This window comes from Homo sapiens, chromosome 17, assembly GCF_000001405.40.
Source record: "Homo sapiens chromosome 17, GRCh38.p14 Primary Assembly".
Classification (NCBI taxonomy): domain Eukaryota; kingdom Metazoa; phylum Chordata; class Mammalia; order Primates; family Hominidae; genus Homo; species Homo sapiens.
In genome coordinates, this window is record NC_000017.11 from 48,416,837 (window position 1) to 48,430,007 (window position 13,171).

The 13,171-nt window shown below is 39.7% G+C and overlaps 1 protein-coding gene across 9 annotated transcripts in view; it reads right to left on the minus strand.

Moving 5' to 3' along the window:
* Positions 1–13,171, minus strand: part of SKAP1 (src kinase associated phosphoprotein 1) — a 311,620-nt gene that overhangs the window by 283,395 nt on the left and 15,054 nt on the right. The window contains exon 1 of one of the 9 annotated variants that reach the window (XM_047436974.1): positions 12,750–13,096. The exons of the other annotated variants lie outside the window; for them this stretch is intronic. Within the exon in view, the coding sequence (XP_047292930.1) occupies positions 12,750–12,773 (24 nt within the window). The 5' untranslated portion in view covers positions 12,774–13,096. Of the gene's footprint in view, positions 1–12,749; positions 13,097–13,171 lie in introns of those variants that run through there. 9 annotated transcript variants of the gene reach the window in all.

Genomic DNA, 13,171 nt, shown 5'->3' on the forward strand with positions numbered 1-13,171 from the left:
GGATTTCTGCAGTCACTCTTAAATATATCACTAAAATCAAACCTCTAAGACTTTAGTGTTTAATTTTCCTGTCCTATTAATTGAAACCTTCATGGAAACCTTCACTATTTTCACATCAATTACATAAAAGTACCATAGTGGGGAAAAATGACTTTCAGTTTGTCTAGAACATGTTTTAAACTTACCTAAAACTTTTGATCTGAAAAATGTCATCATTAAGGCATATACTTTTTACCTTTTGCCAAGAAGGAAAACGTGTTGGCAGGCTAAAATCAAACCTTATACCTACCAGCTTTGTTTTGGTTTGCAGGAAGTTGTCAGCATTACAATAGAAAAGTCGTGGGCATGTTCTGGTTGTGGCTAGGTTCGACCTGCTAACTGTGTTTGCCCCATGACCTAAGAAATGTGCAGTGTTTGTATTTTTAATTTTCCTTCTACCTCCTGTAGAGGAAAAATGAAAATACCTATATACTCACAACACAGAGAAAACAAAAACCAGAAACTAAAACAATGAGAGTACTTTAGATCAAGTTTTAACTAGCAGCTAGCCTAGAAATCCAGGATTAACACTTTTGCAATCTTTATTTGAGAGTTTAAGAATATATTCTATAGAAACATCTGCATATGGCCAGGTGCAGTGGCTAACGCCTGTAATCCCAGCACTTTGGGAAGCCGAGGCAGGAGGATTACCTGAGGTCAGGAGTTCAAGACCAGCCTGGGCAACATGATGAAACCCTGTCTCTACTAAAAATACAAAAATTAGCTGGGCGTGGTGGCACATGCCTGTAATCCCAGCTACTCAGGAGGTGGAGGTGTGAGAATCACTTGAACCCAGGAGGCAGAGGTTGCAGTGAGCTGAGATTGTGCCATTTCACTACAGCCTGAGTGACAGAGCGAGACTTCGTCTCAAAAAAAAAAAAAAAAAGAAAAAGAAAATTCTGCATATGTACACTAAGATACACAGATAAAGATGTTTTCTACAGCAGTGTGGATATATAAAATATTTGGAAACACCTTAAACATCCATCAATAGGACAATTGCTAAATAAATTGTTAAATACTATGTAGCAGTTTAAATATATATACACATAGATAGATGGATAGATTGATTTGCATGAAAAAGTCTCCAACACTGCTATGGTAAAAAAAAACAACAACAACAATAAAAACAAACCAGGGTGGGTGCAGTGCCTCACACCCGTAATCCCAGCATTTGGGGAGAGAAAGGATTGCTTGAGCTCAGCAGTTTAAGACCAGACTGGACAATACAGCAAGACTCTCGTCTCTACTAAAAATAAAAATAATTAGCTGGGCATGGTGGCATGCACCTGTTGTCCCAACTATTCAGGAGGCTGAGGTGGGAGAGTCACTTGAGCCTGGAAGATTAAGGCTGCAGTGAGCCGTAATCGTGCCACTGCGCTCCAGCCTGGACAACAGAATGAGAACTTGTCTCTAAAAAACCCCAAGAAACAAACAACCACCCCACCAAATATTCTATATACTTCTATGTTGTGCAAATATTTTACAATAAAAATATATCTATCAATTATTTTCATAATTTAAAAAATGCATGGGCCATGACATCAACCAGAATGTCTAAAAATAAAAAGACTGCAATACCAAATGTTGGTAAGGATATGGAGCAACAGGAACTCCCATATACTGCTTGTGGAAGTGGAAAATGGGTATAATCACTTAAGAAAAGTATTTGGAGTTTAACATACAACTACCCTATGACCTAGTAATTCCACTCCTAGATATATTTATCCAAGATAAATGAGTGCTTATGTTCACAAAACAAGTTATACAAGAATGCTCATAGCAGCTGTATTCATGATAGCCAAAAACTGAAAACAATTCATTGTTTATCAGCATAAGAATGGATAAACAAATTGTGGAATATTCACACAATGGAATACTATTTAGCAAAAAGGAACAAACCAATACACACAATAACATGGATACATTTCAAAAATACAGTGTGGACAACAGATACAAAAAAGTACATACTGATTGCATTATGATAGAAGTCAGAACAGTTATTAGCTCTGGGAGGGAATACTGACTGGAAAGGAAACTTTCTAGGGGGATGGAAGGTGGTGTGGGTGTATATTGATAAGGTATCTTGATCTGGGGAGTGGTCACATAGGTGTCTATATATGCTTAAGTCAACCAATTTTAACACTTAAGATAAATGGTATGTAAGTCATACCTAAAGTGCTAAGAAGAAAGGGAGAAAAATGGATGGAAGGGAGGGAGGAAGAGAGGAAGAAAAGAAGAGAGAGGGAGGGAGAGAGGGAGAAAGAAACATTAGGCTGTTGCAAAAGTAATTGCAGATTTTGCCATTTAAAAGTAATGGCAAAAACCTCAATTTTTGCATCAACCTAATAGATGGATGAATGGATAAAAGGGCTCATACAAAAAGTTATGAGAAAGAAAAGAATTTGGGGCTTTTTTTTTTTTCCAAAACAGTGTCTTGCTCTGCCACCCCAGGCTGGAGTGCAGTGGTGCTATCTTGGCTCACTGCAACCTCCAACTCCCGGGTTCAAGCAATTATCATGCCTCAGCCTCCAGAGTAGCTGGGATTACAGGCATGCGCCACCACACCCAGCTAATTTTTGTTTTTACTAGAGACGAGGTTTCACCATGTTGGTCAGGCTGGTCTCGAACTCCTGACCTCAGGTGATCCACCCGCCTCAGCCTCCCAAAGTGCTGGGATTACAGGCGTGAGCCACCATGCCCGGCCAGAAAAGTTATTTTTAAAGGAGTGTAGTTTAAGAAGGTTTACTAAAATGCAGTGAATAGATGTTTTCTGTAGCTACCTATGCACCCCAGCCTACTTCTCATACTAGATTTATAATATATAGTACCTTAATTAATTCCAGCTACTACAATATTGGTTTAACTAAGCACAAATATGTGCCATTGGATATATTTTAGTAAAGCGTCTATTATTTGAATAAAAATTTTATTTTCCCATAACATACTCATATTAGAATGTCAACAATGTTAGGAGGAGACCCTAAATGAGAATTCAAATAATTCACAAATGATTTTATTAGAGTCAGCAGCCTTGAGGAAGACTTGCTATCTGGATGGTAAGACCACTCTATTCCTGAGCTCAGATCTGTCCTATCTTCCATGTAAATGCTGGATACTAAAATTAAGCAGTGGAACTCAAAGACTCCAAACCTGAAAATCCATCTGTTATAATCACCTAACCTATAATGCAGCACTGACAAACTGGAAAGCAAGCAATGAACTCGGAAACACAGGGGAAACAAATATGAATAAATGTAGCAGAAATTATAGGATTTCTGTAGGGTGTAATGGCTTATAACATGAAAAAATTAGATCTATGATAGTTAGGTCAATATGTTAAGATTCTCAGATGGTGGTAAAACTTGATACTTACCTTATTTTTCCTATATTTAAAATGATTAAAAACTGTTTAAGTATTATACTTATGAAATTAGGTAAAAATATTATCTTAATAACTGGTACTACAGTTCCTCTTAGGGAAAGAACTGTCATTGTTTGGGAAAATAACTTGTTTTGCTGTGTGTCACTATTGGTGGGAACCTAAACAACTATACAGATAGTTAAACTGCCTTTTCATGTGGCAGGGAAAAAAATATATGTATTTTTTACTTTAGATAGGATAAAGAAAGAAAGTGACAATGAGAAGGCATAAGGCTGGGAACTAAATCAAGTGAAAGAATAGAGGATATACCCTGATAACTGGGGTGGCAGAAGGGTATTTAGGAATAGGAATGCCTAATGCTCAAATCATTTGCATGACTGTAATGTAAACCCTTCCTCCCCATCCTGGCACCCCCTGATTCTCCAGGGATGTTTTCTATACTCATAGGGACTTCATGTGAATAGGCTTTTGTGGAAATTGAGAAGGAAAACATGTCTAGGCCAGGGCTTCTCAACCTCAGCACTATTGACAATTCGGGCTGGATGATTCTTTACTGTGGAGGGAGTGTCCTGTGCATTGTAGGAAGTTTAGCAGCATCCTTAGCTTCTACCCACTAGATGCCAGGAGCACCCTCCCGAGCTGTAACAACCAAAACGTCTCCAGATGTTGCCAAAAGCCCCCAGGGTCAAAATCACCCCTGTTGGCAACCACTGGTTTGGGCCTACACAACCCAGGACAGACAGCATGCATAGCAGCAGGGAAGCCTGGAGGGAAAGCTGACCTTGACAAGGCATGCTCTTTGAGAATCACCCTGATCCTGAGGAGAGCTGTGAACTTCCATGGGGAGCAGCTCTTACCTAGAGTTCAAAAGACCTAGGCAGTCCATCTAACACTAGACGATAATCAGAATGAAGTTCAAATATCTCTACCACGTTTTTTTAAATTTTAGCAAACAAAAGGGAGGAGAATAGACCTTTTTTTAAAAACTGGGAATTAATGCAAAATACTAGTTTTACACACACAAAATAGAGTGTTCTTTTTTTTTTTTTTTTTTTTTTAAAGACGAATTTTGCTCTGTCACCCAGGCTGGAGTGCAACGGCACGAGGCGGGAGGCTCACTGCAACCTCTGCCTCCCAGGTTCAAGTGATTCTCCCGCCTCAGCCTCCTGAGTAGCTGGGATTACAGGCGCCTGCCACCATACCTGGATAATTTTTTGTATTTTTAGTAGAGACGGGGTTTCACCATCTTGGCCAGGCTGGTCTCGAACTCCTAACTTCAGGTGATCTACCCACCTTGGCCTCCCGAAGTGCTGGGATTACAGGTGTAAGCCACCATGCCCAGCCACAAAACAGGGTATTCTATAACAAGGCAAGGAACACTTATCTTTCCTGATATGCTCAGTCATACACAAACAGACTAGGTAAAGCTTCAAGTGCCATCTCAGAGAATCCTTTTGTGACAAAACAAAATTTCAACTGAAACATCAGGGTAGAAAAATTATATGCCTGGGAATCTATAAGAATATAGAAAACTCAGAGAACTGCAGGCTAGGTGACAACAAAAGCAATGAAGCTAATTTTCTCTCCTTCCTCCATAAAGTTTCTCATCAAAATGATCACTAGACTCTGAAGGAAAGAAATGGAGATTTTGAAAGAATCCCTAAAAGTCGGGCTGGGAGCGGTGGCTCACACCTGTAATCTCAGCACTTTGGGAGGCTGAGGCGGGCAGATCACGAGGCCAAGAGATCGAGACCATCCTGGCCAACAAGGTGAAACCCCATCTCTACTGAAAATACAAAAATTAGCTGGGCTTGGTGGTGTGCACCTGTAGTCCCAGCTACTCGGGAGGGTGAGGCAGGAGAATCGCTCGAACCCAGGAGGCAGAGGTTGCAGTAAGCCAAGATTGCACCACTGCACTCCAGCCTGGTGACAGAGTGAGACTCCATCTCAAAACAAACAAAAAGCCTCCCATAATGGAGAAGAAGGATAAAAACAGGGATGGGCCACCAATATAAGCAAAAGACCATGACTGGGAGTTTTACTGTGGAAAGGCAGCTGCCAAAACAAACAAACAAAAGAGGTCAGCTGGATAACTCAAGTGAAAAAAAATTTAATTTTATTTATCAGACATTTATATGGTGTTTAGTACATACCAGATACTGTTCTAAATTCTTTTCAAATATTCATTCCTTTATTCTTCATATAAATTCTGTAAGATAGGTACCACTATTATCTCAATACTACAGATAGGTACCATTATTATCTCAATATTACAGATCAAGAAACTGAGACCCATGGTCCATTTAGTGAGTAAATGGTAGTAAGAAAGTGGAAGAGTTAGAATTTGAATCTAGGCAAATTGCACACAGAGAAAATATACAGGACCTATGAGAAAACATTAATGTTCAAAAAGAAAAGATCACCTGAAGAACTAAAGACAATGCCTCCTTCTGAAGCAGATTTATTATTAAAGAACAGAAATGTTTAGAAAATTTCTAATTCTCGGCAACATCCAAAAAGTCATTAAATGTACAAATCAGCACTTTATAGACGTAATGAAAATGAGACAATGAATGATGAGGAAAGAATACATGGCAACTTTTTAAAAAATAAATAAATGTTGAATTTAAAACCATAATGAAAGCAATGACAGATGAGACAGTAAAAAAGATGAAACAGAGAGAGCATATCAGGAGTCCAATATATGTATGCTATAAACCCAAGTATGACAGAATAAAACAGATGGAGCAGAAGCATAATAGAAGAAAACTTTCCCAACTCAAAGGGAGACCAGAGTCCATAGATCAAGCAGGTTCACTACATACCAGGCAAAATTATTAAAAGGCCTTCCTGGCATGCTATTGAACAACAACAACAAAAAGTATTAAAAAGTCTAAGTAAGACCTTGATACTAACTAGTGACATTTTTGAGAGCAAAGAAAAATATTCTATACTACCCCAGCTGAGAGGAGTGGATTATAAATGAAATATACCAGGCTGGCATCACACTTCTCCTTCACAAAACTGAAGGCCAAAAAATAATGGCACAATTTTTAGAGGCTTAGTTGAGGGGAGGTTGAAGGAAGGGGAAAAGTGTGACCCCAGAACTTCATGCCCACAGCTAAGTTTATATGAAATAAGGGAGACACATTCTCAGACATACAGAGGCTTAGTAAGCCTATTATCAAAGTACCCTTCCTGAGAAATTCACTCAGCATTATATTCTAGATCATCAACTACCAGGACTTTACACACTGTCCAGTACAGTAGCCACTGTGGCTACTAAGCAGCTGAAATGTCGCTAGCACAACTGAGGAACCAACTTTTTTTTTGTATTTAATTTAATTAATAATTTAAATTGAAATAGCCACATGTGGCTAGTGACTATTATGGTCAACAGCACAGTGTTAATATCTAAGAGATAAAATAGCGTTCAAGGATGAAAAATTCATGGTACCAAAAGTAAGAAATGAACAAGTTAAGCAGGGAAAACATTCTTGTTTGTTTGTTTTCTGAGACAGGATCTCACTACATTACCCAGGCTGGGGTGCAGTGGTGCAATCTCACCTCACTGCAGCCTCAACCTTCTGGGCTCAAGTGATCCTCCCACCTCCGCCTCTCAAAGGGTTGGGATTATAGGCATGAGCCACCACGCCTGGCCCGATTTTTATTTTAAGACATTAGGGTAAAACTATTTGTGGAATAAAAATAGGGTATATAACTTGAAGGCAAAAAAAAACTCACTTAACGATTGTCTTATTCCATTTGAGCTGCTATAACAAAATACTACAAACTAGGTAGCTTATAAACAACATAAATTTATTTCTCAAGTGGGAAACTGGAAAGTCCAGATCAACGGCAGATTCAGTCTCTGCTGAGGGCCTGCTTTTTGGTTCATAGATAGCACCTTTTAACTGTGTCCTCACATAGTGGAAGGAGTAAGGCAGTTTTCTGGGACCTCTTTTTTTTTTTTTTTTTTTTTGAGAACGGAGTCTCGCTCTGTCACCCAGGCTGGAGTGCAGTGGCGCGATCTCAGCTCACTGCAAGCTCTCCCTCCCGGGTTCACACCATTCTCCTGCCTCAGCCTCCCGAGTAGCTGGGACTACAGGCGCCCGCCACCACGCCCAGCTAATTTTTTGTATTTTTAGTACAGACGGGGTTTCACCGTGTTAGCCAGGATGGTCTCAATCTCCTGACCTTGTGATCCGCCCACCTCAGCCTCCCAAAGTGCTGGGATTACAGGCGTGAGCCACCGCGCCCGGCCCTCTGGGACCTCTTTTATAAGGGCATTAATCACCTCCCATCACATTTGTAATTAGATTTCAACATAAAAATTTTGGCAAATCACAAACATCCAGAGCATAGCCGTGATCTAAGAAAACCCTCAGGAAAGGCCAGGCACGGTGGCTCATGCCTGTAATGCCAGCACTTTGGGAGGCCGAGGCAGGCGGATCACGAGGTCAAGAGATCAAGACCATTCTGGCCAACATGCTGAAACCCCGTGTCTATTAAAAATACAAAATTAGCTGGGTGTGGTGGCGTGGGCCTGTAGTCCCAGCTACTCAGAAGGCTGAGGCAGGAGAATCACTGGAACCTGGGATGCGGAGGTTGCAGTGAGCTGAGATCACTCCACTGTACTCCAAACTGGAGACAGAGTGAGACTCTGTCTCAAAAAAAAAAAAAAGAAAAAGAAAAAGAAAATGAAAACCCTCAGTAAGGCCAGGCGGGGTGACTCATGCCTGTAATCCCAGCACTTTGGGAGGCTGAGGCAGGCAGATCATGAGGTCAGGAGTTCGAGACCAGCCTGGCCAACATAGTGAAACCCTGTCTCTACTAAAAATATAAAAATTAGCCTGTCATGGTGGCGTGCGCCAGTATTCCCAGCTACTCAGGAGGCTGAGGCAGAAGAATTGCTCGAACCTGGGAGGCGGGGGTTGTGGTGAGCCAAGATTGTGCCACTGCACTCCAGCCTGGGCAACAGAGTGAGACTCCATCTCAAAAAGAAACGAAAACCCTCAGGAGACAATAACAAGTGAAAAATTATAAGTAGAAAAATCAATAGACAAACCTGTGCACAAATATGTCCCAACTTTTAAAGTATATCCATATAATGAACACTGAGAAAAATACATGGAAATTTAACAATTATTGATTCTGAGTAACTGTATCCTATTGTGTGTTTTCTAAATTTTCTATAATTAGCATTATTACTTTTATAATCAGAAAATTTTAACATAAAAAAGGAATAGAACTATAGTTATATCTCACTTTTCAGAATTCAACTGAGCAGTAGCCTCACTGATCTGCAAGACAATCCAGTTTCAAAAATTAAGCAAAAAAGATTCTGAGCAGCCAAAATACATCTTACAAAGCCCACACTTAAAGGTGTGGGTACTTTGTTCATCAAGAAAGCTCTTTGTAACTTCTTTTACATATATCTCAATTCCAACTAACGTGGTTATCTGATGTACCAGAAGCACTGGGAATGTAGACACACAGACAAGGGTGCAAAGTGATAGGCCTTGGCCTAACAGCAAGAAAAAAATAATGAAAATAAAAATATAAAGCAGACACAGACACTTACAAAGCAGTTCAGGGGCAACTATGGCCAAACATCCTAAACAATATATTACCATAAAGTATGGTAATAGATATTCACTATAACAACTTTGAGTTAAAGAGTGCTCTAAAGAGGTTCATTTGAAGATAGCCGTAGACTGGTTGGCTAAAGAAGAAAAATTCCTAATGCATTTTAGGAAAAACCTGATCACAAATATTTATAAGAAGAAGAAAAGAGTGCTTAAAGAGAATCTCCTCAGCTATCCAGAGCAACTCATTTCTGCAAGTTCCCCACAGTTGGAATTTTACTATACTGAAACGGATTTTATGATTGACTGCATTGACTAATACAGATCTGGAGAACAATCTGGAAGGAAATGATTAATGACTGCTTCTTTACAAGGAAGTTTAAAAATAAATAACTATAGGCATATCAGAATCAGCATTAACACAGCAATTGCTACTACATGCAGCCAGGTTGTTAATGTTATTTTGGCTTAAATCCATATTCTGGGCAGGATTTAGTACCATGTAGGCAGTTGGGACCTATCAGCTACCAGGGTAATGTCAGTAGGCCCCATTCCATCACACAGGACAAACTACGAACCAAAGAAATATCTATTCCACCTCCTTCATACTTGTCTCTTTTGCTTCTGACTTCAAAAGCAGGGCTAGAAAGACCAGGAAGAAGAGACTGATTATGTTTATATCTGTGGAGCAAAGATTATGCAAACTGCCAGCACTTCATTGTTTTTGTTTTCGGTGTGGTTATCACAGAACAAAAACAAAAAGATAACTTCTACATCTGAAGCCCCATTATTTGAAAACAGACCTGAATATTTCCTCCTCTTTCAATAAAGCAGAAAGCACCCTCCATTTTACTTATCTATGAGGTATTTATTTGTTGATAGGGGACTAGTTACTATTTCTATATGAGAGCTTGACAGAGTCTATCTAAAGAAGCTATTTCCTGAGTTACTCTAGAAACCTCACACTGTTTTGATATTTGCCAAAAATCCAAGATAGCGTGTTTTTTTTTTTTAATTTCTCCACCTTCCATACCCCTCAGGGCTAAAAAGAGAAAAACATGATCACAAGCATAGTAAATGGTCCGTTAGCACTCTGACCTCTCTGAGTTTCTATTTGTCTTTTGTTCCTTTTTCTTTTAAATACCCTTACTGTTTATTTTTTCCTGTTTACAGAAGTAATGCATGGTCATTGTCACAATTCAAACAACACAAAGATGTATGAAATAAAAATTAATAACCTCCCCTCCTCCAAACTCTCAGTCTTCTCTCAAGGAAGCCAATGTTAACAGTCTGGTATATATTCTTTTTTACTTATTCCTAGGCTTACACAAATATTTATAACATATGTGGCTTTTCTTGTTTTGTCTTTTGGTTTTCAAGCAAAAATGGGATATTACATGTACTATCATGCATTTTGCCTTTTAGTCTTAAAAATATGCCATGGACACTTTCCAAGCCTATATATAGATCCACAGAATACTCTTTTAGTGGCTGTGAAGTATTCCATGAGACAAATGTCCCATAATTCATTCAACCATCACCCTGAGTCTCCCAACTTATTAACATTTAGCATAGATCTTCGTGCATATACTACTTCATGACCTTTCACTTCAGTGACAGATTTTTAGAAGTGAGGTTTCTAGGTCGAGTGAAACATTTCCAAGTGTCTCAAATTTTATATTTAAACAAAATTAATTTTAGGCCTTGGGAATTTCTGTTCTCTTCATTATGCAAAATTTTGTTATCTACCTTTCACAATGCTTTACATATTTTATTCTTAAAAGCACACACATTATGTCAAAAAATGCCCCTGTCATTTATGCTTGTGTAGTTATAAATAAATAAATGCTTAAGTTATGGCTGTGATGTCCAGTGTTAAATCACTGTGCAAATGCTTATGCCTTGGTTTATGAAAGTAGTAATTCATTGTGGAAACCCCACCCCCACAGCCATGTGGCAGCACTAGAGTTGCAGCCCTCACATCCTGTGACTCCCTCCCACAGAGTGACTATATAGAGATCAGGACCTCCATTTTTTCTAATTGTCAACAGTTAACCTTAAAAAGTGTGTGGTGGGGGAGACAAATAGCAACAAACAACAAATTGATGGCCATTTTGGGTTTCTAATATGGACAGATTATTTGTAACACAATGAATAATCCTCCTGGTCTACACCAGCGACTGTGTTCCAAAAGAAATAAAACTTGTAACCAATATATTGCTATTATTATTACAGGAACCTTTAAAAAACATATCTTCAAACATTTTTCAATAGAATTACTGGATGAATCACACTTTACATTTTTTTCTCTACTTCAGATTCAAGTTCTAATTGCAAACTTAAAAAAAAAAGCCTTAAAGAAATACATTAACCAACGAAGCTCCTTATAATTTGGTTTCAGACTCCTCCATATATTTTAAAGACCTGAGCACCAACAGAGATTGTTAAGATACAGCAAGCTTGATACAGAAGTATGCGACATGCAATTAATCTCCATTCATACCCCGCTCTACTTGTCAGCAAACAAAGGTTCTGCTTTAGAAGGAGATCTGAAGACTTCAATTAAAAACAGTCAGCTAACAAGAAAATAATCTAAGCTAAAGGAAGGTGGCAGGTGCAGAAATGAGTTGTTTACCAAAGTGTCAGTTTTGAACAATGAAGAACTGCACATCAAAAATGCTGAAGGAATGGATTTCATTGCAAGCCTCTGAAAATAAAAAGGAATTTTCTACCAAGCCTAGACACAAAACTGAAGTATAGTTTAATAAGCTTATAAAATAGGTTTCCTCTCATCAAATGACAGATACCAATAAAAAGAATCAGTTTATATATTTCAATGCAAGGGCAGAGTTAAACTTTTTGCCACAGTCCCTTCTTTCCTAGAAACCAAAGACAATTACAGCCTTCCTTCACAAGCCTAATATTAAACCAACAACAGAGGGAAAGGCTGGATTGTTTCTTCTTAGACACCCAGATAATTCTCTTTTACCCTGCAAATAGTTTTCTACCCCCAAAATTTAGATTTATTCTGATCGTAAGTAAAACGGATTTTGGAAACCTCACCTCAAAAGAAATATCTAGCTGACAGCTTTTACATAGAAGCAATCCAGAATGGAAATAGTGCTACAGACAGAGACCAAAAGGACTTGCCAAATATTTGATTAGGAGGCATTTATACCGAGATAACAAGGTAATGGAGATATAAAACCAATTAAATTGAGAGAAACTGAAAAAAAATACTGCTTGCCAAAAATATGACCTGCCCAAAGCAGGCCGTCTGTTAAATATGTGTCAACTATGTCAACTTAGATGCCAAAAGGCTTAATTCTGAATAGTTTCCTCCTGGGAGCCTTATGCGACTGCAGATTCCAGGCCTCTGTCCTCCCTGGAAGGTTAGTTACAGGAAAGCAAGTAAAAGTGACTTCCACCACGAAACCCAGCAGATGAAACTGCCCGTTAGCAACGTCTCTTTGTGACATCTCTTTGGAGTGTTGGCAGTGTGTGTTGAGTGTTGACGGGGATGGCCGGAACTCTTTAAACCACCGCTTAGACACTGTAGTTGGAAGGTGAACACACCACAATGGGAGTTGGAAGGTGAACACACCACAATGGGGGCACTTCTAGAAAAGGAGGAAATCCCATACTGAGAATGAGCCTGCCTTGGGGTGGGTGAGACCCCTAGACGTCTGCAGGGTGATAAAGGGAGGGCTGGGGTTTTCGCACTGACAAAAACTCACGTCAACCACCTGGCCTTGGCCCATGGGGATCCCATGAGCCCCTCGCAGCCCCCTGGAGAGCCTCGGGGACCTCTAAGCAGGAAGGTTTGGGGTCTTCTGTGAGAGGTGAGGAAGTCGTGGCTGGGGAAGGAGGGGGACGGGAAACCCTACAGATGTAGGGCAGTCCTTTGGAGAAAGGGACAGGTCGGAGACCAGGCAAGGTGGCATGGGGGACCAAGAACCTGGCCTGAGGACTTTAGAAGCCGGGGAGGTGAAGTGGAGGCGTGGAGGTGCCTCAAGGCAAAAGAAGATGTGGGACTCCAGGGAGTGAAAGGGGCCCTGAGGTGAGAGGATGGAAAGCTGGCTCTAGGGAGTTGAGGGCTCTAGAAGCCTTAAGGTTCTAGAAGGAGGTGAGTGACGAAGCCGTAAAGAAAGCCTGGCCG